Source organism: Homo sapiens, chromosome 11 (assembly GCF_000001405.40).
Source record: "Homo sapiens chromosome 11, GRCh38.p14 Primary Assembly".
In the NCBI taxonomy this organism is placed as follows: Eukaryota; Metazoa; Chordata; class Mammalia; order Primates; family Hominidae; genus Homo; species Homo sapiens.
In genome coordinates this window covers 104,554,826-104,582,658 of record NC_000011.10, presented here as the reverse complement: position 1 = coordinate 104,582,658, position 27,833 = coordinate 104,554,826, and the positions used below count along the sequence as shown (strand labels likewise).

General features: G+C 35.6%; 1 long non-coding RNA gene across 1 annotated transcript in view; it reads left to right on the top strand.

Moving 5' to 3' along the window:
- Nucleotides 1-14,170, top strand: part of LINC02552 (long intergenic non-protein coding RNA 2552) — a 40,814-nt gene extending 26,644 nt beyond the window's left edge. Inside the window, exons 2-4 of the long non-coding RNA NR_120585.1 lie at nt 10,062-10,102; nt 13,528-13,611; nt 13,738-14,170. This is a non-coding gene — a long non-coding RNA (long intergenic non-protein coding RNA 2552). The remainder of the gene's footprint in view (nt 1-10,061; nt 10,103-13,527; nt 13,612-13,737) is intronic.
- Nucleotides 14,171-27,833: the final 13,663 nt, after the last annotated feature.

Genomic DNA, 27,833 nt, shown 5'->3' with positions numbered 1-27,833 from the left:
TGGAAGGTCAAATCTGTAATAGGTAGTCCCTCTGACTCATAGTCATAAGACTTCAGTATAAAGATAGGTTTTGCCATTGCATTAATCTATAACTTTGGACTAGTAACTTGACTCTTAAAACTCAATTTTCTTATCTAAAAAATAGTACTACTAACAAATAAGTAATATATGTAGAATATATATATATATAAAATCAGTAAAGGATTATATTGACTTTAGATAATATTTTTCTCCACTAGACTGTAAGCTTTTGAGGATAGACCTTTATATAACTTTTCTTTGTATCTCAGAGGACAACAGTCCTAAAACATAGAAGTAATTATTATTAAAATATTTATTATAAGTAATTATAAGTATTTAGCAAGTACTCACTAAAAGCTCATTGAAAAAAATGATAACTGCAATATTTTCTTTCACTCCTTATTTTGTGGGTAAGCAAGTTTCAGTAGGAGATAAAATAAACTATTTTGGGTCAAGTATTAGCACAAGGCTTGGAGAATTTTATTTGTGTTAACAAGATTATAAATCACCTTACATGAGGTAATGTCAGATACCTATTTAAAAATATATCATCTTAAATGGATATTTCTTCAAGTAAAGTAGATTCTCCCTGAGTTTCCACAATATTAAGGAAAAGAGAAAATGTTCAACCAGTATTTGTTGAATAAATGAATATATGCCTAGGATCCTCAAACCAAGAAAACATCAAATATTTCCTTTAATTTTAATGAAGTTATGTTTTAAAGTTTATTGTTAGTCTATGGATTTCAAAAAAAAAACAATTAGAATGGATGTCTCATATAGCTGAACAATATGTTCTGTGGATCATCAGATTTTTGAGATGTTGAAATCTGATACAGGTCTTTGACATGGCAACCACAAGACACTTAAATATTTTACAGAAAAAAAAAAACTAAGGATTTAGTCATCATTAACAAAACAAATATATCTAATACAAATGTAATGTCAACCTGCATCTCTCTAAAATGAACTGCTGTACATATAAATGTAGAAACTGTCTCTTTAAACTTTTACCTCGGAGCTACTTGAGATGTAAAAAATTACCAGTAAACAGAATCACTTTCAGAATAGTTGTTTTCAGCCTGATAAAATATGTTCATTCAACAACAAAATGTCTTCCTTTGTAAGTCACCAATTCCTAGAGTCATTGCCTATTCTGTTTCACAGTAAGACACGGAAATATGTTCACAGAAGGCTATTGTTACTGCAGCCTCCTGCAGATGTCTGTAATTAGGGTTAAATGGGTGACCCATGCTTACTTGGAAGTAGAAAATAATTTAAGAAGGAGGTAGCATTTGAATTGAGAATTAAAGGAAGGATCAAGTGTAGGCACCCAGAATAGGGACAAGGCATTTAGGCAGTGGGGAAAGCATGAATAAAAACTTGGAAAAGAAAAATTCATTATGAATAGAAAACAGGGAATATGAGATGGAAACTTAGGGGAAATTAGATAAGAAGATAGGTTGGGGTAAAGTTATGGAAGACCATGAATATCCAGCCAAGAAACATGAACACACAGTTACTTGGGCAGTGAAATGTCGTTGAAGTACAACATTTAAAATGTCCGAAGTAGAATTTAAAATTTCTACAACGTGATTACAAGAATTTTTCTAGTGCTGAATATAGTCATTTTCTAAGCCAGATGTTTCTTTTTTAAAATTAGTATTGTTTTTAAAAATTCAGATAACCAGTATGACTATTAACAGCATTTTATCTCTTTAATTTTAAATATGTGGATAAATGTTCATGCATATGTAAAATATTTCAGATAAAAAAGGGTATAAAGTCAGATACCTGCCTATGATTATTATTAGGAAACACTTGCCTAGTTATACAATGTGTCACATTCATTGAGCTTTCAGAGTTTTAGAGATGATCACACATCCAAGCCAATTGTCTTGTTTTAAGTAATATTTTGCTTATGATCTAACACACAATTGACACTTATATAACATGCAATTCAACAAGCATCCCTTTTTAGTATCCAAATTTAATTTGAAGATGTCATTTGTCTCTGAACATTCTTTGGAAACACAATGTCTATTCATTTTCATTAGCATGTTGTTACATATAATTTGAGCTCTCCTTTACAGCTTATAATTTCCTTCTTTTCTTATGAAATCTCTTCCTTTAAGGATACAAAATTGTTTTGTTTCCCATATTATCTGTCTCATAGAAAAGTGACTGAAATCACTTCTTGTCAACTCATACATGCAATTTACTCAGTAACAGTTAAACTATTCTTGAGCGCAGACATAGCCAGTGTCAGCATTTTTCCCAACTTGCATATTTTTGCTTCAAGGTACGTGTTCTGTCTCCTGGTCCTAAATTGGGATAACTGTTATGACGGCATTTTCCACGATACTAATTAGAACATTCCAATGGTGATACAGGGTAAGAGTTAAATCTTAGTAGTGGCACAAAACAGCACTCAGTCCCTTAAAGTACCAGTTTCTCTTTTCTGAACATTTATCTCCTGGAAAGCATTTATTTTGTTTATTACCTTAGAATTAGAATTTGGGTTTTTATCGTAAGAAATTTTCATTGCTTGATGGTGCAATGTCCAATGAAGAATGGAGGAAAGCCTTCTAAAAGTATGCAGACAGTATGTGCTTTCTGAAACAGAACTGAAGAAAATGCTGTTGTTGCCATGCTGCTATCACAATATGCCACCTGTCAGGAGCATTATGATGGTCTTTACTGGCAGCATTGGGGCAGAGTGAGACAGTAGAATAGAAGAAATGCAGACCAGACTGTCATGAAAACAGTCCTAACCTCAAATCTGTTTGCTCAGGATGTTTGTGTACTTGGGCTATTTCCTTCCTTAATTCCAGTTTTTAATCTCTAAAATTAGATTTATAAAATCTGGTCCCCCAACTTGACAGACTTCTATCAGATCAAACTACTTAAAACTTGTAAAATGCAATTCAACTGCATAGCATTGTTATTCCATATTCCTGTATGTACTCTTAAAATGACTGAGAAAGAGGCTGAAATTGGCTTCCACACATAAGAAGGCAATTTAAGAAAAGGCTGCAAGTAAATAGTAGTAAGGGGTCTATTTTCATCTCAGAGACTTCAATTAAATTGGATTCTTGACTTATAATACAACAAACATGCTTCCATCTTGCCCTTATCATTCTTCAAATATCTAGAAAGCAACTTTTTTTATATTTCACAATCAAACTTAAATCCATATTACCTGGTGGCCTAGTGTAATGAAAATGACCATGGATTTTATGTGAGTTTTATCATAGGTATAAAATAAAGGGATTTGGCTCAATAAATGATTTTTATAAGCATCATAACTAATAGTGAGATGATAGCATGTACTAGAAAGATCACTCATCTTGGGGTCAGAGGTTATGGAGCTAGCTTTTTCATTGCAGAGTAATGTAATGAGCCATTATGTGTTACTTAAAATTCTTTGGTTCTTCTTGTTCTTATCCATAAAATGAAGATAGGCCAGGTGTGGTGGATCATGCCTGTAATCCCAACACTTTGGGAGGCCGAGGTGAATGAATCACATGAGGCCAAGAGTTTGAGACCAGATTGGCCAACATGGTAAATGGTAAAACTCCATCTCTACTAAAAAAATCCAAAAAATTAGCCAGGCATGGTGGTACATGCCTGTAATCCCAGCTACAAGGGAGGCTGAGGCATGACAATTGCTTGAACCCAGGAATATATGTATATATATGTATATACACACACACACACATACATATATGTTTTATATATATATGTTTTATATATAAATATATTATATATAATTTATATATAATATATTATATATTATTTATATATAAAACAAAATGAAGATAAAAACTAATACATAGTAAGACTATTAAATATACAAAGTGATAAACTATGTGTAGGTATTTTCAATTCGTAATAATGCATGCAAATATCAAATTATAGCAGTGGTAGTGTCTATAATAGAAAAGGAAGGAAAGGTAATAATTATTAAGACTTCAGGGTGTCACTAGCTCCACCTATTGTGGAAGGGAATGTAACTAAACCTCTTCCAATGGCACCTGAAAACAAGAGCCTTTCATTCATTTATAGATCTTATAAGAAAGAATGAAAAACCTAATCAAAGGAAAGCTGTCTTAGTCTGTTTGCACTGCTTTAACAAACTACTACAAGGGTAGCTTGTAAACAACAGAAATTTATTTCTCACTTTTCTGGAGTCTGGGAAGTCTAAGATCAAAGCACTGGGAGATTCAGTGTCTGGTAAGTGCCCATTTCCTGGTTCATAGAGGGCCATCTTCTCTCTGTAACCTCACATAGCAGAGGAAGCCAGGGATACTCTGACACCTCTTTTATAAGGGCACTAATCCCATGCATGAGGGCTCCATCCTCGTGACCTAATCACCTCCCAAAGGCTACACCTCTAAAGACCCTCACATTTGGGATTAGGTTTTAATATACAAATTTGGGTGGACACAAGCATTCAGGCACTAGCAAAGGTCAAAGTGAGAACACTATCCGTATTGGCCAGAGGTTGAAGTTACCTGGAACTCTTTTGTTCTCACTCCCTAATCCTGGATTGAAAAGATTTCACCAATTCTTTTGTATAACATTAAAACAAATTTAGTACAAATAGCTTTTATCTTATAAAAAAATTTAACTGAGACACAGAAAGTTACCCAGAATTAAGGTTCAATATAATGTAACATATTTTGATATACTAGTCTAGGTTAAAAATGTAACTACATCAAAAGAAATAAATACAGAAACTGAAATTGAGCTGCTTTGTAATAAGTAATTAGAGTATCTAAATAAATTAGGCAAAAATGAATTGACATAAAACATCTATTGGTAATTCAACTTGTAGAAAATTGGCATATGGTTTTACATAGGTATTTAATTATATTCTATATTTAGCACTTTGATGTACATCTTTATTTCTTTATGCTGTATTTGTATTTGATATTGATATGAAAATTATTTTGCTTCTCAATAAAACTTGATGAGCATTAAAGACATCCATTTATAGTAATATAGGCTTCAAAGACAAACATCTGTTTGGAATTTTTTTAAATTGCTCGATATACATTTACCAAAGAGCAAAGATCCAGATATTTTTAAATGTCCAGATATACTAGATGATAAATCTCTGGGTGATTAATAGGTTACCACTGATTAACATTAATTCATATGCCTAAATGTCCTGAAGCCAAGCTCTTTAGTAACCTTGAAATAATTGCAAGGGGGACAGAATAAAAAATGTAGACAGCTGAATCATTTTCCTTTTCTGAATGGTTAATGTATTCCTGTGATTAAATATACCAATTAACACACCCTTAAATAATATCTATCATGGATAAATATCACAGAAAATATATATTTAGCCAAATATACATCCATTTAACATAACTTCTGTTGGAGAAAACATAAAACTCTTAGAAACTTCAACAACAACAAAGATTTGAGTAAATTTGTATTAGTGAAAGCTCAGAAAATCAGAAATTATTTATGAATTACATGGAAGACATACATTAGTTTACTAACTGGTCATCAAAAACAACTGCAGTGGTGGTAAGACAACTTCCCTAGTTAAAATTACAGAAAACTTCCCTGGTTAAAATTACAGAAAACTTCCCTGGTTAAAATTACTGATTTGGGGATCAACACATTTCTTGACTGACAGTTTCTTTGGATTGGTATGTATACAATACCAGAGTAATTTTTTGAAAAATGAACACATTGCAAACATTTGCTTACGTGGTGATCATAAAGTTAAAGATTTTGACATACTTCTACTCACTTAATATTTTGACTGATACATTCACTCAGAAATCTAAAATCATATAGATTAAAAATTGAAAATAAAGGCTAATAACAGGAGTAGAATAAAAAGAAAGTATAATATCTCAGTTGTGTTGCTGAATTCAGTTTTTTCATTTTTTTTAAGATGCTACCAATTAGAGTCTAGATATTTGTAGATATTCATTTTGGCTGAATCAATTCATATCTCTCAATAAGCTAAATTTGACTAAAAAAATTCTATGTGAATTATCTTTGCCATATCACCAATAATGGGCCCCAAGGCATTGTCAGTATTCTAATTATTGCTAGTTTACCTTTCTCTACAACGAAGGAGATGAAGAAGGAAGTTCTGCAGAACTACGCAAAATCACATGGCAACTTCATTCCATTATCATCCAATCAAGCTATTGATTAATAAAGGTCAATGTGTGGGGTGAAATAATCTAAACAACCAACTGGGGCTTTTGGTTGCAAGCAATAGAAAATAAATCTCGATGATTTAAGCAGTCAACAGGAAGGTAAGAGAATTATACTCAGAAAATAGTATGAAAATGGGAGTTAAAGTCACAGCACACATTCAGCCCACTGAGACCATCACTGCTGCCATGGTTGAATTTTACAAGCCAGAGATGCAGTGCCATGGCCGCAAGCTCTGAATCCCAGGTGTGTTCTCTGCCACTCCTTTGAAAAGACATTCCTTCCTTTGAGACATATAAACCTAGTTAGAATGCAGGGTAAGCCTACTGGATTGGTGAAGCCATTTGCCCAATCCATTTATTTCTTTCTTTTTTGGGTGGAAGAGGAGGGGGTTATGAACAACGCAGATTTATTTCCCACAGCTCTGGAGGCTGGGAAGTCCAAGATCAAGGCAATAACAGATTGGATATGTGGTGAGAACCTGCTTCCTGGTTCATAGATAGCTGTCTTCTCTCTGTGTTCTCAGAGGGGAGAAGGGGTGAGGGAGCTCCCTGGGGTCTCTTTCATAAAGACACTGATCCCATTCAGAAGCACTTCACTCTCACGATTGATCACTTCCTAAAGGCCCCACCTTCAAATACCATCACCTTGGGGAATAGGTTTCAACCCATGAATTTTGGGGGACACAAATATTCAGTCCATAGCAGTGAGTGAAGTCCATTTTTCTGATATTTCGAAATTGTATTGCTTTACTGAACATATCCAGTGAGAAAAGTGAAGGATTTAATAATAATAATAGAATCAAAATAATACATTCTGGAACCTAATGTGTTCTTATTTTTCAGTGGACTCTAATATTTTATTTTCTTCTTTTGTTAACTTTTATTTTAGGTTTGGGAGTACATGTGCAGGTTTGTTACATAAGTAAACTTGTGTCAGAGGGGTTTGTTGTATAGATTATTTCATCAACCAAGTATTAAGCCTCATATCCAATGGTTATTTTTTATACTCCTCTCCCTCCTCCCACCCTCTACCCTCAAGTAGACCCCAGTGTGTGTTGTTCCCTTCTTTGTGTTCAGGAGTTCTTATCATTTATCTTCCACCTATAACTGTGAATATGCAGTATTTGGTTTTCTCTTCCTGTGTTAGTTCATCAAGGATAATGGCCTCCAGCTCCATCCATGTTCCTGGATGGAAGACATGATCTCATTCTTTTTTATGGCTGCATAGTGTTCCATAGTGTATATTTACCACATTTTCTTTATGGAATCTGTCACTGGTGAGTATTTAGGTGGATTTAATGTCTTTTATGTTGTGGATAGTTCTGCAATGAACATTTCTGTGTATTTGTCTTTATGGTAGAATGATTTATATTCCTCTGGATATATACTGACTAATGGGATTGCTTGATTGAATGGTAGCTCTGCTTTTAGCTTTTTGAGGAATCACCATAATGCTCTCCACAATGGTTGAACTAATTTACACTCCCACCAACAGTATATAAGCATTCCTTTTTCTTGGCATCAGTTATTTCTTGACTTTCTATAGCCATTCTGACCCGTGTGAGATGGTATCTCTTTGTAGTTTGATTTGCGTTTCCCTAATGATCAGTGATATTGAGCTTTCTTTCATATGCTTGTTGGCTCCATGTATGTCTTCTTTTGAAAAGTGTCTTTTCATGGCCTTTGCACACTTTTTAATGAGGTTGTTTGTTTTTTCCCTTGTAAATTTGTTTAAGTTCCATATAGATGCTGAATTTTAGAACTTTGTCAGATGCATAGTTTGCAAATATGTTCTCTCAGGTTTTAGTTTGTCTGTTTACTCTGTTGAGAGTTTCTTTTGTTGTGCAGAAGCTCTTTAGTTTAATTAGATCCCATTTGTCAATTTTTGCTTTGTTGCAATTGCCTTTGTTATCTATGTCATGAAATCTCTGCTCGTTTCTATGTCCAGGATGGTAGTGCCTAGGTTGTCTTCCAGGGTTTTTACACTTAGGGGTTTTACATTCAAGTCTTTAATCCATCTTGAGTTGATTTTTGTATATGGTATAAGGAAGTAGTCCAACTTCAATCCTCTGCATATGGCCAGGCAGTTATCCCCTCACCATTTTTTGAATAGGTAGTCTTTTTCCCACTGCTTGTTTTTGTCAGCTTAGTTGAAGATCAGATGGTCATAGGTGTGTGGCCTTATTTCTGGGCTCTCTATTATGTTCCATTGGTTTATATGTCTGTTTTTGTACCAGTGTCATGCTGTTTGGGTTACTGTAGCTGTGTAGTATAGTTTCAATTTGGGTAACGTGATGCCTCCAGCTTTGTTTTTTATTTATTTATTTTGCTTATTAATTATTAACTGTGCCCAACCCATTTCTTCATGGTTGATTCAGAAAAGGAGTATCTAGCTTTTCAGTGTCCACGGTGAGAGGCAGCCCCTGCCTAGCATTAAGACTCACATAAAATGTGGGGAATGTTCCAATATGAGAAGGATATTCATTTGTTGGTCAGATAAACAGACAAAAGACAAATACTCACTAAACTGCATTTAGATAAAATTGGGAAGACAGAATAGATGACAGTGGTTAATGACATAGGTTTTGGCACTGGATTGATCTAAGTGTGAATTTTGGATCTCCTACTTTCTAAATATATAACCTCCAACATATTTCCTATCCTTTCTGAGCATCTGCTAGTTAAAATTTCCATAAGAGTAAAACTGTGTCTGCCTTATTCACTATGGTATTTCAAGCAGCTAGAACAATGTCTGGCAAGGAACAAAAGCTCTAAAATAGTTATTGAATGAATGACAAGGCCAAATCCCACTATTACACATGATGACAGCAGCATGTAACATGACTCCTAAACACTTAAATATTTTATTTGTTTTTATGATTATCCAACTGAAGTATTTCCCCATCAATAGACTAAGCTCTATGGAGTCAGGGATGATGAGGTTTTTAAACTATTTTTTTCTGTGACTGTTTAATTATTTGAGAAGATGTACACATTTACATTATTTAGTCATTGTTGAGAATTGAGAAATATCAATTCAATGGCAATACTCAAATATAAAAGATTTTTCTTTATGTATTTATTATTAAAATTAATATCTCCAATAAAATATAATAAATATTTTAAATTTATGTTCATAAAACTATCAGTAATCCACCTATTTTAAAATAAATCAGTGGCCATTTTTGAAATTTTTTCTAAGTACAATAATTCTACTTACTTAATAACATCATCTTTCTAACTAAAGAGAGTGCATGTAATTAAAAACAGTGTGGAGCTAATCACTTCTGAGACTGTCTTCCCTAGGCCTGTCAGGTTTGTCCCACACTTCCTGTTTAGGCAGGTCTCAGTGTGTCAACCTTTTGTGTAGCCATCCATTCTGACAGACCATTAAATATGCGGCCCCCCAACTAGATAAATGTGTCTATACAGATGTTGCTCCAGTGTCTCCTGGCACATAATTTATTTCCTGAGAGTAGATGAGGAACTCTTACAAGGAGGTATTATTATTACTATTATTAGGGCTAACATTTATCGAACCCTTGTTAAATGTCAGGCTCTATGCTAAGTGACTCATGTACAATTACTCTTATAATCTACTCTAAAACTAGATTAAATAGGGTCTATTATTATCCCCACATTACGGGTAAAGAATGGATCTTAGATAGGTCACATAGCTGGTAAGTCATAGAGCTGGGATTCAAACTGAACCCAGAACTCTATGTGAAACTTCTTCCCCATGTTTTCAGATTCTGACTACTAGTTTCTCTCTCCTCTGTTTTAGCAAAGGATTTTTTTTTAATCTTTGCATTTGTATTTTAACTTTTATTTTTTTCTCTTATAAAGAGAGCCCATTTTGCCTAAACAAGAACCACGATTATGTAAAGGTAAGTACTGAATGAGAAATTTTATATTGTATTACTAAATGTGCTTTCAGTCCAGAGTCATGACCTTATGACTCATGCAGCCAGACACAGCGATATGATAAAGATTTGGCTTGTTAGGGTGATATAATTGTGACATCTCTGTTACCCTAGAAATAAGTTGAGATTAGAAAGCACAGAGAATAGCAAAAAGGAGTTGCCCCTTGAACATAAATGTTTGGATTTTTAGCTCTTCTCAAAAATGATATGAAGGCAAAATAATTTTCCATTGTAGAGAAAAATAGCAGGACAGTGATGAAACATAATCTGACCTATTTATTTTTCAATTTTTCCAAAGAAATCATAAACACCTCTAAAACACATGTATACTGGTGGTGTTAGTCAACTTATATCACTGTCTGTGAAGACGATGCAGCAAATTCAATGAAAGTTGTATACATCATGGAAAAGTTTGAATTGCATGAAGAAAAGAAGCTGACGGAAGGTGGAAAATATTTTCAATACTTAGCAATTTTGAAATACACATTATTATTAACTATAGTTAACTCATTGCTCAGTAGATCTAAGAGAAACTTTGTACCCTTTGACCAACATCTTCCCGTTTCCCCCATCCCCAGCCTCTGGTAACCACCATTCTACTTTCTGCTTCCATGAATTCCATTGTTTTAGATTCCACATATGAGTGTTTGGCTTATTTCACTTAGCATGGTCCACCATGTTATCAAAAAGAACAGAATTTTCTTCTTTTTTTCAGGCTGAATAGTATATCTCTAATACTATTGTGTATAGACTATAATTTATTTACCTATTCATCCATTGATGGACACTAGGGTAGATTTCATATATTGGTCATTGGGATTAGTGCTTCAAAGAACATAAAAATGCAGATATCTCTTTGACATACTAAAGAGAATTGTCATATGATCCAGCAATTCCACTTCTGGGTATATATCCAAAGGAGCGAAATTTTTAAAAAGAGAGAGTATTTCATCATTTCAATCTTATATTCATGTAATGAGAATGTTAGTTATCATCAGGATCTCCTATTATCAAATTGTAGTTTACAACAGAGTTCAGCAAATCTTTTCTACAAAGGATGAGCTAGTAAATATTTTAGGCTTTTCAGGCTAATTGGTTTCTGTAAAAACTGTTCAATTCTGCCATTAATAGCATTAAAACAGCCATAAATAATACACAAAAAATGAGCATGGTTGTATTCCAATGAAACATTAAAAAGAAAAAAAACCAAATAGCCTATAGGCCATAGTTTGCCAATCCCTGGTCTGGAAGAGAGATACTCAGAAACACAAATCCTCCAGGTAAAAATAACTGAGACTGCTTAATGTCAGAGCCTTACAAGATCATACTGGGTAGCTTATGAAAACTGTTGCTAAGAAAGTTTGTGCTAACATTCTTCATATTATTTATGGGTATAAATACTGAGGGGAAAAAAACAAATGTATTGTATTAGCTTAAGATAATGAGATCCAGTTAAAAATGAGAAATATTTAACAAAGTCAAGATGATCTCATTATACTGCTGGTAAACCTAAGTGATTATTACAGATTCTGTGACAGCATGAGCAGGAGAACATCATGAGTAAATATATCCACTAGAAATATATAAATCAGGTCTGAGACCATTTCAGAATCTCAGATGTCTGATCATGGGCAATTTCTAAGCTCTTCATTGAGGTCCTTATAGACACATTTCCCATGTCCACCCTTGCTACTCTTTGCTTCAACATTTGCAGAAGATTTTAAAAGTCATGTGCAGTTATTTAGCAGGCACGCACACCTATGCATATACACACATATGGGCAAAGAAAAATGCATGTATTATTTGAAGAACTAGCATCTCTATGACAAAGGAATCATGGAGGATACAGATTTGAGATTCAATGACTGGAGAGAAAGAGGCTGTCTGTCCATCAAAGCACTATCCTTATTGATACTCTAGTCACAGACACTTTTGAAAGGTCTGCAGTTACTCTTTGACCACACTTTATCTGCTGAATGATCTCAATTACTCTGAAGACAAAGGAAAATATGACTAATACATTCTTTCTCTGGGCACAGGAAAGCTTATAATCCTACCCAGTCATCCAGAGGTTAAAATTGGGAAGATTTTATTTTTTAAAAAACTTGTTGCCAAATCCGCTTTTCCTCATGTTTTCCATGCATTGTGAACTATGCTGTCATCCATGCGATCACACAAGTTAGAAATATGAGAGTTGTTTCTTTCTCTTATCCTCCTACTCTTCATTTTCAAGCCCTGACATCTTGTAGATTCTATCTTCAAACCACTCCTCTGTACAAACACTGCTAAAGGCTTTCTTATCATCACCATTGCAGTTTTTTTTTTTTTTTTTTGAGACAGACTCTCACTCTGTCACTCAGGCTGGAGTGCAGTGGCATGATCACGGCTCATTGCAGCCTTGACCTCCTGGGCTCAAGTGATCCTCTCACCTCAGCCTCCCGAGTAGCTGGGACCACAGGTGCATGCCACCATGTTGGGCTAATTGTTGTATTTTTTGAAGAGACAAGGTTTCACCACATTGCCCAGGCTAGCCTCAAAGTCCTGGGCTCAAGCCATCCACCCACCTCAGCCTCTCAAAGTGCTGAAAGTGCTGGAATTACAGGCATGAGCCACCCCACCTGGCCATCATTACATCTAATCTACACTTGCGGAATAGTATCCTAAGATACCTATCTCTTGTCTTTAAAAATCTCGATTTCATCCTTTACATTGCTGCCAGAATTGTATTTTTAAAAGGTAAAGCTGATTATGTTCCCACTTTAAATGTTCCAATAAATAAACCATGCATGTAGGATAAATTTCAAGCCCTTGGCATAGCATACTTAGTTTTCTGTAGTCTATACTTGGTCCAAAAGGCAATAAATGTACCAGCCCTCTTTCCTGTGGAAATCAGCCCTACCTCCCTGGCTACAAATTGGTCTAACACAAAACTCATCATACCTTTTCATGTTGATGGGTCCAAGGAGTTGGTGTATGACCCAACATGGATCTATCAGAGTCCTCTCCTAAAAGTTTCAAACTCTAGTTGGGAAAAGAGTATTCCTTTCATCTCTGTTCATACAGTTAAGAAACTTGAGTCCAAAACTGAGGTCTGTTTAAAAAAATCTCTCTTCTACATTCCTCTTGTGCAATATTAGAAAAAAGAGTAGAGTAAGATACTCTACAGATAAGAGTAAAAATGAGAAGTGGATACCATCCTGCCATTTAAGTCCCTGGCCACAGCTGTCCCTAAGCCAGTTTCCATTTACCCTAACCCACTCTGGTTTTCCATCTTGTGATATGATCCAGTGAATTTCCTGTTTTAGCTTAGACTACTGTATTACGGTATTGCCACTGTAACTAAAAAAATTTCAATTAATGCAAATTTACATTTCTCTCTCTCCCTTTAGTTCTTTCTGTCACCTCTCTGAAGACCTGGTTCATATCTGCAGCTGCAACTCTATCCCTGAACTCATCTTTGAAACTACCCAGAGGTCAGAGGCAAAGGCCCACCATACTCTTTTTTCTTCTTTAATTTTATTCTTTTTTTTTTTTTTTGAGGGGAATTTTATTCTTATCTTACCTAATGTTGACTTCTTTATTTTTTCGAATCCCAACAGATAGACTGTCAAGAGCTTCAGAGCTTTACAACAGGATCTTCCAAGTGCCCTGAGAGGTCATGATGGAGCCAATAGAAATAAATCATACAAAACAAAGCCAGAACCTGGTGGGAGGGATGCTTACAAAACAACATAAACGAGAAGTTGTCTGAAAAAAAATTGTATGGAAGGAAGAAGAGATGAGATAAGGGAAATGAACTCATAATAGCCCCAGTTAAAATACTTACAGTAAAATATCATTAGTACTACTTGATGTTGGTGAAAGGCTCTAGACTCAAGTCAGAAGGCCCAATTTGTTGCTGTGATTTCTTGAACAAATTATGTAATTGTGTTGAGATTCAGTTTTCTTTTCTATCATTGGGTATTAATAACTTCTATGTGATGTCAGAGTTATGATGTGAAGTTAAAATAACTAATAAATGGGTAAACCCTGAAAATTTGATAGAATTTTGTGAATGAGAGAATCTTACAAATACAGTACCTGAAACCAAAAGAATTAAGTCTCAGCTTGAGGAATATCAGATACTAGGGCAGGCTAATGGGATAAAGGTCTCATTGATCTGCCACCTTCAGTCACACTGAAATGGGGCTATATTTTTTTTATTTACTTACCTACCAGTACTGCCAATAGTCAAAATAGTACTACTTTCCAAGTTATTTAACTTTTTTAGTATAACAGAAAAAAAAATCATTTCTAGTTTTCAAGGCATGGATTCAATGAGTAATATAGATTTATATCACTTGGTGAAGACATGGCAATTTCCCTGATACCACTGAAAAATAAATTTAAAAATGCTATTTGATACCTTCTTTAAAAGCTTTTTTTGTTTGTTTCTTTGCTGAAATGGCAAGGATTGAAGATAATTGGATTTACAAAACAACATAGCAAGAGCTCCCAATTTCAGTATTGTGACAGGTCCATTGATAAAACCTGCTCAGGCAGAGACCAAGTTGGAAGGAAGGATAGGTTATTATTTTAGTTCTCCTGAGGTAAAATAAATATTCTTAAAAACGTGCATCCATCCATCCTCTTTTAAGTAGAGAGGTCATCAGTCTCTTTCCTTATTAAAATGAGCACAAACTGAACATGCATAGATTGATTCTCTCTATTCAGTTGCAGTTTGAAACTTAGCCTGCTACACATTTTAACAGAATTTTCTACACATTTTAACAGACACACACTTTCTACACATTTTTAACAGAAGCATTTTAACAGACATTTCTCAATGTGGCTCTCTGACTTTATGACATCAGAGGAAGCAGTCTTCAACCTGGTAAAAAACGTAAAGAAAATGCAATGTCTACTTATAAACTTAACAAGAATATCAATGACAACTATTTTACCAATGAATTTAAAGATTTGGAGATTTCACATAATAGCCAGTAGCTCTTTGACATAAATATAAAGCTATATAATCCACAATTCCATTCTTTGCTTATTTTATGTTTTTCTGAAGTAGTTATTGAGCACCTATTGTGTGTAAAGAGCTGGAATGGACATAAGAATACAGAATGGCAATAGGTTCAAAGAATGCCAAGTACAGGAAGAGGAAAGATGCTGAGTTCTTGTCTGGATTTGACTTTAATTAGTTTTATGACCTTGGTTAAGTCACTTCTCCCATGTAAATCATTGAACACTTTTTTATTGAGGGCTTCCCATAGGTAGAAACAAGAATGACTGAGGAACAAATAAACCCGGCCTCAGCCTTTGTGGAACTGACATGGTAGTGGGTAAGATAAATATTAAAGAATTAAACACATAAACAAATATAAGTAAAGATTATATAAAGTGTAACCAAAAGTAAATAATGTTAAAGAATTTTTAAACATTGAGCTTCTGATTCAATCGGCCAGTCATGGAATACTTATCCGAGGAAGCAAAATTTAGACTGATACTTGAAGGAAGAAAGATTGCTGGGTGTAAATAACAAACGTGGAAGCGTAACAGATCTGAGGAAGTTCAGGCCAGTGTGGTTGAAACGCAGAGACCAAACGGAAGAAGGCAAAGGATGAGACTTACTAACCAGACACTGCCCAAATCCTGCAAGGCCTTACAGACATGGTAAGAAGTTTTGAATACATCCTAAGTCAAATGAAAAATCACCAACAGATATTAAACAGCTGCATGACATGATCAGATTTGCATTTTTAAAGATTACTCCGGCTGTGGTGTAAATAGTGGATTGAGAGTAAGATGCAGCCATTCGAAGTGGCAGACTAGTTACACACACTGAAATGTAATAATGCTGCAAAAAACATAATACTGAATGAAAAAGGAAAAGACAGAATGTGTTCCAAAGCACAATACCTTTATATAATGATAGCTTGATGAAAACACATACAAATAAAAGATTATATATTAAACCTCTTAAAATGGTTGCTCTTGAAAGGCTAAATAGGGATAGCAATGGGGGTAAAAAAAAATAACTCAATAAAACAAGAGAGGGCTAATAAATGGACCAGCAACAATAGTAGGTTATACGCTAATGAGCATGATAAATTCTTAAGGGCCCTAGTATTTTTAGAATGGTAAATGAGCATGGCTTCAACTTAATGTCACCAGGTGCTTAGCCTGTAAAAAGAGAGTCAGGCTATCTTTAGAAGTTTTGAAGCCAGACATTGGCTTCTCCTCTCTAGCTATGAAATTCCTAGACTGCATCTGCTTCCAAGAGAAGGCTGTTTCATCTACATTGAAAATCTGTTCTTGGATGTAGTCACCTTCATCAATTATCTTAGATAATCTTCTGGATAATTTGCTGCAGCTTCTACATCAGCACTGGTCACTTTACCTTGTCCTTTAAGGTTATGGAAATGGATTTTTTTTTTTCCTAAAACCTCATAAACCAACCTCAGCTAGATTCACACATTTCTTCTGCAGTTTTCCCACCACTCTTAGCCTTCACGGAATTGAAGAGAGTTAGGGCCTTGCTCTGGATTAGGTTTTGGTTTAAGGGAATGTGTTGGCTGTTTTAATCTTCTATCCAAACCACTAAAAGTGTTTCTGTATCAACAATAAGGCTGTTTCCCCCTTTTAATCATCATGTGTTCACTGGAGTACCACTTTTAATTTCATTCAAGAGCTTTTCCTTTGCATTTACAACTTGACTAACTGGCACAAAATTCTAGCTTTCAGGCTGTCTCAGGTTTCAACATAACTTCCTTGTTAAGCTTAATCATTTCTAGCTTTTGATTAAAGTGGGAGACGTGCAACTTTTCCTTTCACTTGAACACTTAGTGGCCATTATAGGGTTGTTACTTAAACTAATTTCAATACTGTTGTGTCTTGGACAATAGGAAGGCCTGAGAAGAGGGAGTGGGATGTGGGAATAGCCAGTCAGTGGAGAAGTCAGAACAGATACAACATTTATCAATTAAGCTTATCATCTTATAAGGGCACAATCTGTGGTGCCCCAAAACAATTATAATAGTAATGAGAGGTGACAACGTGCTAGCAGCCCTTGCTCACTCTCAGCACCTCTTGGACCTCGGCATCCACTCGGGCCACACTTGAGGAGCCCTTCAGCCCACTGCTGCACTGTGGGAGCCCCTGTCTGGGCTGGGTGAGGCCGGACCCGGCTCCCTCTGCTTGCGGGGAGGTGTGGAGGGAGAGGTGCGGGCGGGAACCCAGGCTGCACGCGGTGCTCGCGGGCCAGTGCGAGCTCCGGGTGGGTGTGGGCTCGGCAGGCCCCGTACTTGCGCAGCTGGCCCCAGGCAGTGAGGGGCTTAGCACCCGGTCTAGCAGCTGCAGAGGGTGCGCCAGGCTACCCCAGCACTGCTGGCCCGCCGGCGCCGCACTTGAATTCTCGCTGGGCCCCAGCCACCTCCCCATGGGGAAGGGCTCGGGACCTGCAGCCCACCATGCCCAAGCCCCCCTGTGGTAGGATCCCACATGGCCTGAGCCTCCCCGGCGGGCGCTGCCCCCTGCTCCACAGCGCCCAGTCCCATCAACCACCCAAGGGCTGAGGATCGCGGGCGCGCAGCACGGGACTGGCGGGCAGCTCTGCCCGCGGCCCTAGAACGGGATCCACTAGGCGAAGCCAGCTGGACTCCTGAGTCGGGTGGGGTCTTGGAGAACTTTTATGTCTAGCTGGAGGATTGTATATGCATCAATCAGCACTCTGTGTCTAGCTTGGGGTTTGTGGATGCACCAATCAGCACTCTGTATCTAGCTAATCTGGTGGGGACTTGGAGAACTTTTATGTCTAGCTAGAGGATTGTAAATGCACCAATCAGCACTCTGTGTCTAGCTAAAGGTTTGTAAACGCACCAATCAGTACTCTGTGTCTACCTAATCTAGTATGGACTTGGAGAACTTTTAAGTCTAGCTAGAGGATTATAAATGCACCAATCAGCACTCTGTGTCTAGCTAAAGGTTTCTAAATGCACCAATCAGTGCTCTGTGTCTAGCTAATCTAGTGAGGACTTGGAGAACTTTAATGTCTAGCTAGAGGATTATAAATGCACCAATCAGCACTCTGTGTCTAGCTAAAGGTTTGTAAATGCACCAATCAGTGCTCTATGTCTAGCTAATCTAGTGGGGACTTGGAGAACTTTTTTTTTTTTTTTTTTTTGAGACGGAGTCTCACTCTGTCACCCAGGCCGGACTGCGGACTGCAGTGGCGCAATCTCGGCTCACTGCAAGCTCCGCTTCCCGGGTTCACGCCATTCTCCTGCCTCAGCCTCCCGAGTAGCTGGGACTACAGGCGCCCGCCACCGCGCCCGGCTAATTTTTTGTATTTTTAGTAGAGACGGGGTTTCACCTTGTTAGCCAGGATGGTCTCGATCTCCTGACCTCATGATCCACCCGCCTCGGCCTCCCAAAGTGCTGGGATTACAGGCGTGAGCCACCGCGCCCGGCCGGAGAACTTTTATGTCTAGCTAAAGGATTGTAAATGCACTAATCAGCACTCTGTGTCTAACTAATCTAGTGGGGACTTGGAGAACTTTTATGTCTAGCTAGAGGATTGTAAATACACCAATCAGCACTCTGTGTCTAGCTCAGGGATTGTAAACGCACCAATCAGCACCTTGTCAAAACAGACCAATCAGCTCTCTGTAAAATGGACCAATCAGCAGGATGTGGGTGGGGCCAGATAAGGGAATAAAAGCAGGCTGCCAGAGCCAGCAGCGGCAACCCGCTTGGGTCCTCTTCTACTCTGTAGAAGCTTTGTTCTTTTGCTCTTCGCAATAAATCTTGCTGCTGCTCACTCTAGGTCCGCGTCACCTTTAGGAGCTGTAACACTCACCGCGAAGGTCTGCAGCTTCACTCCTGAAGCCAGCGAGACCACGAACGCACCGGGAGGGATGAACAACTCCGGACGGGAGGAACGAACAACTCCAGACGCGCCATCTTAAGAGCTGTAACGCTCACTGCGAAGGTCTGCAGCTTCACTCCTGAAGCCAGCAAGACCACGAACCCACCAGAAGGAAGAAACTCTGAACACATCTGAACATCAGAAGGAACAAACTCCAGACACGCCACCTTTAAGAACTGTAACACTCACCGCGAGGGTCCGCAGCTTCGTTCTTGAAATCAGTGAGATGAAGAACCCACCAATTCCAGACACAGTAACACCAGTTATCACTGATTGCAGTTCATCATAACAGATATAATAATAATTTAAAAGTTTGAAATATTATGAAAATTACCAAAATGTAACACAGACACATGAAGCATTGGAAAAATGGCACCAATAGTGTTGTTTGATGTAGCATTACCATAAATCTTAGATTTGTAAATAACAAAGTATTTGTGAAGCACAGTAAAGCAAAGCACAATAAAAATGACGTGTGCTTGTATTTTAAAAGAACAGATTGAATTGGGAAGGGTAGTTGAGGAACTGGAAGCAGAGAGAACAGGTACAAGATTCACGTAGTAGTCCAAGAAAATTAAAGCAAGTAGAAAAACTAACAGAAGTTCAGGATAAAAGATTTTGAGGCCTTAACTACACATTTCCAGAAGGAATGGAAAAAGGTCAGAAATGAGAATGTGGAAATATCCTCAGCTGATTTGACTGTAAGTAGAAAGTGTTGGCATAAAAAAAATGGACGAAGCCAAAAAACTCATGGAATGATGAATAATTAAATAAATTGAGGTCTCCTTATCAAAAACAAAAATGAAGACATGTAGATAGAAATTTATATGTCTTTACTCTGTAAAGCTGGGAGAATACCCAGAAGGTATTTAGGAAGTATGTGATAAAAATTTAAGATTGGAGTTAATGAACCAGAGATAGGCATGAGACACATAATAGGTAATAATACAGGTTAGCTGGTAAGATCTTTGGAGCACAGCAAGCTTGGATTTGAGTTAGTAATAATAATTATGCACTGCACATTTTAGCCTTTATAATTTTTCACTGGTTCTTCCACTTAATAGGCATCTTTTAACATCTATTAAGTGTAGGAAAATACTAAGAGCTGGAGATACAGCAGTAATAAATAAAGTTTATTTAAGTAAGTGTAAAGTTAATAAAACACAGTCCCTAATCTCATTACTCTTACACTGAGAGATTTTCACATTCAAAATTTACTGAGCACCTATTGGGTACAGAGGACTTGGATGGGCAAATGAATACAATATGTCTCTTGCTGTGTTGTTGGAACAAGTGGAATGCTGGGGACATCCAAAGAAAGGAGACCACATGGAGGAGGTGATATTGGATCTTGAGGGATGATTAAGAGTCATCAAACAAACGACATTTATATATATATTATAATATCATCTCCTGTAATCTCGCTCACACCCTGTGAGGACCAAGTAAATATATTAAAGATGTATTTCTTATAGAATATTCTGAGCAAGATGAGAGAAAGGATAGTATGATAGCCCTGTCAGTCCTTGTATTCCTCTCCCTAATTTCACTGTTTTGTTGAAAGTGTTTGTTTGGTTTTTTTAATAGTTTTTATTTTGTATTTAGCTCTAGACAAAAGAACAGTACTATTCCTTGAAAACATTTATTCTTTAGGGATATGAAGTGGTATGTTTGCCCAACAAAATACACAATTTCTAAAATATTATGACTAATTCAAGCAAATGTATTCTCTAAAGAAAAATTTCCACTTCACTTTGTCTACATAGAGGTAGATTTAATAAACAAGTTATAACAAAAGTCTTCTGTCAGTATTTTTCCTCAGCACTATTATAAAGGGTGGTAAAAATTCCTTTCTTTGACAAAAGAGACTTTTTCCTCTTTTCCCCCAAGACACTAATGAATATAAATGTGCAAGTAAAATATTTTCACTTAGATTCACAGTGTCTGACACTAATATACTCTAGAGCATTTAAATTTTTCCTCAACTTAAAACTAACTGCCAATTTTTAAAATGTTAATTATTATTCCCCAAATTAAGTAAGAATAATAATATATTTTGCATAGCAAGCATTGTGCCTTCTAAGAAAAGAGGCATTTTATTTTCTGTTTAACTATCTTCTTTCTGTCGATCAGTGTCAGTAGCTTGTCAAAAACAAGTCAAGGACAACCTGCTTTGATATCTATGCAAATAGGATTCAATTATCCCCAATGAGTTTGCAAAACTTGCAGAAGTCATTAATTTGAAAAACATGAGGATTAATGCAGGGGATTTGGAACCTATGTCAAAGACGTTTTAAAATTACTACCATATAAACTTTGATTCTTAAACGCAGAAAATGCCTAATGCAGCTAATTTTAACTACTATGAACTATAACTTACATAATAAAAACACAACTGGCTAACATTATTATCCTCTTTCTTGCATAATTTGTCTAAAAATTAACATCTCATGCTTCTCTTAACTGAAGAACTTCTTCTAACATTTCCTTTATGCAAGTCTGCCAATAATTAATTCTTTCAAGTTTTTTTATTTTGCCTGAAAAAAGTATTTATTTCTTCTTCATTTTAATATAATTAATAGACTATTTTAGCACAGTTTTAGATTTTCTAAAAACTTGCAAAGAAACTGCAAAAAGTTTCTGTGAACCTCACCCCCAATTTCTCCTATGATTAGTATCTTACATTACTATAGTATAATTGTTACAATTAATGGATTAATATTGATATATAGTTACTAGCAAAAGTCCATGGTTTATTCCTTCTTTATTTATTTATTTTTAGTTTTTATGTAACATCCTTCAACTTTTTGTTTTTCTTCAGGACACTATTTTTCTTCAGTATTGTATTGGCAATTCTAGATCTTTTGCCTTTCCATATAAACTTTGAAATACATTTGTCAATATCTCCACTATACCTGGCTGAGATATTGATTGGGATTGTGTTGAATCTATAGACAAAGTTGAAAGAAAGTGACATCTTAGCAATACTGAACATTCTAATCTATGAAGATGAAATATATCTTCATGTTCTTTTATCTTTTTTGATTTATCAGGGTTTTGTAGTTTTCTCCATATGACACCCACACATTTTCATGATGTTTACACCTAAGTATTTATTTTTCTTTTTTGGTATTATTGTAAAAGTTATTTAAAAGGCTTACTTTTTTATTTCAAATTCTGAATGTTCCTTACTGGTATACAGGAAAGCATTTGACTTTCGTGTATTTACTTTGTGCCCTGTAACCTTGTTAAATTTGATCATTACTTCTGAGTATTTCTGTTGATTCTTTGAGAATTTTCTCATAATATCATTTTAAATAAAAAGACAATATTATTTCTTCCTTTCCAGTATGTATGTATTTTATTTTCTTGTCTTGTTGCAACAGATAGAACTTCCAATGTGATATTAAGTAGGAGTGGTAAGATAGACATCTTTGCCTTTTCCTGATACTTGTCAAGAAATATCCAATTTCTCACCACTAACTATGATGTTAATTGTTCATTTTTTTTTGTTTCTCACCACGAAGTATGATGATGATGCTAAAGTGTAGATTTTCTGTTAGCTGTAGGTTCTTTACCAAGATGATGACATTCCTCCCTCTTTTTTGTTTGTCCAGTATTATGATAGCCCCCCTCCAAATGGCACTCTTTATTTCCATCACTACATTTTCGATTTTTGGAATTTCCTTTTGATTATTTCTTAGAAGTTCCATTCCTCTGCTTACATTACCCATTCGTTCTTGCATATTGCCTACTTTTTCCATTAAAGTCCTAACACATTATTCATATATATTTTGAATTCCATGTCTAATAATGCCAACATTTGATTTATATCTGAGTATACTTCTGATGCTTGTATTTGTGCGTGCATTTTCTAGCCTTATGATAGTCCCTTTAATTTTTTTTTGGTTGAAAACTGGACGTTTGTATCAAGTCATAGGAACTGAAGTAAATAGACCTTGAGTGTGAAAGATTTATGTTCATCAGTTAGATGTTGAACTTCGTTTAGTGTTTTCTCCAGTAGTAAGTGCTGAAGTCATGAAGTTCTCCTAGTGTCCTTGTTTTGCCTCTCCTCCTGACTTTGAACTTCTTATTCAGCTGTATCCCACTGTTATTACACTGAATCCCTGTTGCTGTGGCAGTAGGTTGTAGGGCAAGAGAAGCCTCATGTAATCTGATGATTAAGTTAAACCTCTGTCTTTTAGTGGGCCTCAGTCTCTGGGATATAATCTTTATTTTCCTTAGACAGTACATCATTTTTTTAAAAAATGAAGAATGCTCTTAATGTATTCCACAATGATTACTCCTTACCACACTCTCACCAGAGTCAGGACTAGATCTCTATTAATAGACTTTTATCATGATAACGTTGTGCAATTATAAAGGTAAAACCTATGAAAATGTGGGAACTGAAATTTCTAAGACATTCTGGGCTCAAGTGATCTTCCCAACTCAGCCTCCTGAGTAGCCATTTTCAACACTTTGAATATGACATCCTCATGCCTCCTGTCCTCTATCGATTCTAATTAGAAGTTAGCTGTTAATATTATTGGCATTCCTTCATATATGATAAATCTTTTTTATTCTGCTTTCAAGATTTTTTTCTTGGGTTTTAAGTATTTCATTATTATTATTGTTATTTTTAATAGAGACAGAGTTTTATCATGATGCCCAGGCTGGTCTCAAACTCCTGAGCTCAAGCAGTACACCAATCCTGGCCCCACAAAGTGTTGGGATTACAGGCATGAGACACTGTGCCCAGCCTCAACATTTCACTCTATGTCAGAGTGTGGATCTCTAGGTTTATTTCACTTAGACTTCATTAACTTCTTGAATATATATATTGGTGCTTTTTATTAAATTTGAGAAGTTTTAAACCATAATTACTTCAAAATGCTTTTCTCTACTTTTATAACTCCAATGACATATATCTTGGTACACTTGTGTCCCACATTTCTCTGATAGTCTGTTCATTATTTTTTTAGATTATGTAATATTTATCAATCTAACTTCAAGTTTACTGATTCTTCTGCCTGCTTAAATTTACTGTTAAGCCTCTCTTGTAAAGTCTTCATTTAAGTTATTACACTTTTCAACTCCAGAATTTCCATTTGGTTCTTATTTTCCAATTTCTATTTTCTTATAGGTATTTTTCCGTTTTTGAGATATTGTCAATACATCTTCTTTTGACATAGCTGCCTTTAGTTATCTGAACATATTTATAATGTATATTTTAAGCCTCTTTTGCTATGTTCAACATGTGGACCCCTTCAAAAGCAATTTCTTTTGCCCCTCTCCTTCTTTTATCTTGTGTATGTGTCACACTTTCCTTTTTCTTTGAATGTCACATACACTTTTTGTTTAAACTAGACATTTTTAAATAAACGTATTGTAACAACTTTAGAGACAGAGTCCCTCTACCCCGGTGATTGATGTGTTTTTTTGTTTGTTTTTAGTTTGTTTAAAGTCTTGACTAAACTAACTTTGTGAAGTCTATTTTTCCCACAGTATTCAGCCTCTGATATCCCTTTACAGATTTTGTGTTGTGTGTGTTTTATCTTTTTGCCTGATTAACTAGAGGTTGGTTCTTAGCTGGCATATGCCACTTATTGATCAAAACTTTTGCTTAACCCTATTGATTAGTTAGGTGTTTATTCTTTAGTGTTAGATGTGTGTGAAGCATGGAGTTTATATCCCTATTTAAGAAATTTACATTTTTCCCCACATACAGGCAAGCACTGCTAGCTGAGATTTTCTCTTTCTGATTATTTCTGAGAGGGCGCAGCCTTTGACATGCTCACAGTCTTTCAGAATGTGAGATGCATATATTATTAAGACTGGCTTCCTAGGAGTAATTCCTGAGTTTACTTATTGTAGTCGTTGTTCAGTAAATGGTTGGAGATCGTGCTTAAGACCTTTATTTCAATAAAGGCTTCCTCTCTTTGCTGATGAATTACGTCTAGCTGCAGAAATGTTTTCAGTTCCATCCCTCCCTCCCCCAACCTCGGGTTCAGCTCTGATTGCTCCTGAGTGGAAGTAGCCTGGCATTTGTGCACAGTCTCATTTTCCCAACCCCAAGGTGGCCTGTGACTTCAGGAGGGCCTCTCTTGGCTGTCTCTTTCCCTGATTCTGTCTGTAAAACTTCTAGCTTCCTTGTCACTTTTCTTGTTGCCACTGATATAATGGAGCTATGAGCGCCATTTTAATTGCTCCCCACCTATATCTGCATTGACTTTTAGAACACCCCTAGGTATAGACTTCTTCATTCTCTATTTCATGTAAGACCAGCTTCTTCTGATTTTTCAAGTTCCTTCAGCATGTGTGGGCCTGCCTTTGCTCCTTGGCAGGTTCTCTATGCCCCTGCATAAGAGCTGATGGTGGGGATAGTGGCTCACCTCTCTCCTAGTGACACCCTTGTTGTAAGCAGGCACTGGGGACTGAGCTGAAACAGGGAAGAAGATGATAGCCTCCGGTCCTCTCAGCTTACTCCTGCCAATATAGGACTTCCTACACGAGGTGACTGAGCTATGGTAGAGACAAAAACGAGTATTCTCTATCTGCTGTGGTTTGTGTGGAGCATCTATCCTATGAATAGACACTGGAAGCAGGAAGGAAGACCCATCCTTTCTGTTACATTCCCGTAATAGAACTTCTACAACACAGGGCTGGGGGAGATAAGAAATGCTGGCCCTCTCCCCTTCCCAGGTTGAAATTATCACCCCAGACTAGAAGTTGAGGGGAAAATGAGCCCCTGCTTTCTTGACCCATCCACCCAGGGTAGCTTCTTTATAAAGGAGATGAGAGAAGAAGTAGGAAGTTGTGGCTTAAAAGCCACAGACCTCAACTATTCTGAGATTTAGATTTTGCTGAGTGAAGATTCTCCACTTACTATATACTCTTAGGACAATATAAAAAACTTTAAATGATTGTGTTTTCATTTTGTAATTTTCTCCAAAGAAATGCTGTTGGGAAGTGGGTCCAACACCTTCACATCACCACTCCAGAAGCAGAGCTCACTTCATAGTAAGACACAATTTATTTGTTTTTCTTTCAGGAATCACTCTTCTAATAATTTCTATTGTTCAATACTTTAAGACAGATTTTATATATATATAACATATATACCTATAAGATATATGAGATACCTATAAGCGAAATAGTTCTAACTTCTCTTAGTGAAATTTAAAAAAAATTATATATATATAATTTATATATATAATTAACAGTATCCATGAAATAAATCATGCTAAAATATTCACACAATTCACATAGAAATATATTCAAAACTATATAAAAACTAGAGTGAGAATTCAATTTGCTCTGTATAGCATATAAGGGGATTATTCTCTCAATTAGAAAATATTACAGTTTGCAGAAAAAAGTCAAAGATGTACTCCAGAAAAAGACTATTTCAGGGAATTTTAAGGAAAACATAGAATAATTATAAAAAATATTTTTAGAAAAAACCAAGGTATTACATTAGTGACATATTCAGCTAAAAATAAATATGGACCAAGAATAATCTTGTTGTTTATTTTATTTTTGGCATTTAGCTAGTTAATACAGATATTTTTAATTTGCCTTAATGTGCATAGAAATATGCAAATTTGATTTTTAGAATAAAATATATTTTAAAAATCACCCTCCTGAATAAAACTGGTTTATAGGTTTACCAATATTAAAAGCTAATTTGATCGTCAGTAAGTAAATATTTTAAAGGTATAGATGTTCCATCATATTAGTTCCTACTTTGCTAATGTTTGTAATATTTAATTCCCACCTTGCAAATGTTATTACAAGTATTTTTGTATCATTTGCTATTTATCATTACCTATTGTATAAACTTAATTGTAAATATTTAACAAGGAAAAATACATGCTTTTTGCTCTCATAAAACTTCCTGTCTATCGAAACGTATATTTTAAAATAATCACATCAATGATTAATAATTGTAAGATAGGCCTGCAAAGAAAATTATAGAGTACCATGAAAATGTATAACAAAGATTTAGAGATATGAGATATGAAGCTTTTTATGCCATGCTTGGCATTATCATAATATGCAGTCATTATTATTGCTCTTGTTATTATTTTATGCCAGTTGAGATACCTATAAGCAAAATAGCTCTAACTTCTCTTGGTGAGATTAAGAAGAAAACTGACAGAGACAGCTGAAATGAAAATACAGTCAATTTTATTTATTTGCAGTAGTTATCACATATAAAGTTGCTACAGACCCTGAATTAGCAAATACTAAATCATTTCACTTAGGTAAAACATAGGGTTATATTCCTACAAGCCTCTAGGAACAACATTTTCATCAACTCCCCTTGTTTCATGTGTGTTTCTATCTAAAAATAGATATTTTAACCTTTTACTTATGTTCAGACGTAGATGTGAAGTTTGTTACATAGGTTGAACTAATTTACACTCCCACCAACAGTGTATAAGATATTTTTTGTTTTTATTTTTATTCTTTTGCTTTGGATTGCCTTGGCTATTCGGGCTCTTTTTTTGGCTCCATATTAATTTTTAAAATACATTTTATATATCTGTGAGGAATCTCAATGGTAGTTTAATAGGAATAGCATTGAATATATAAATTGCTTTGGGCACTATGAACATTCTAATGATATTAATGCTTCCTATCCATGAGCATGGAGTGTTTTTCCATTTGTTTAGGTCATCTTTGATTTCTTTGGTCACTAGTTTGTAGTTCTCTTTGTAGACATCTTTCACCTCCCTAGTTAGCTGTATTCCTAGGTATAAAAATAGCTTATTC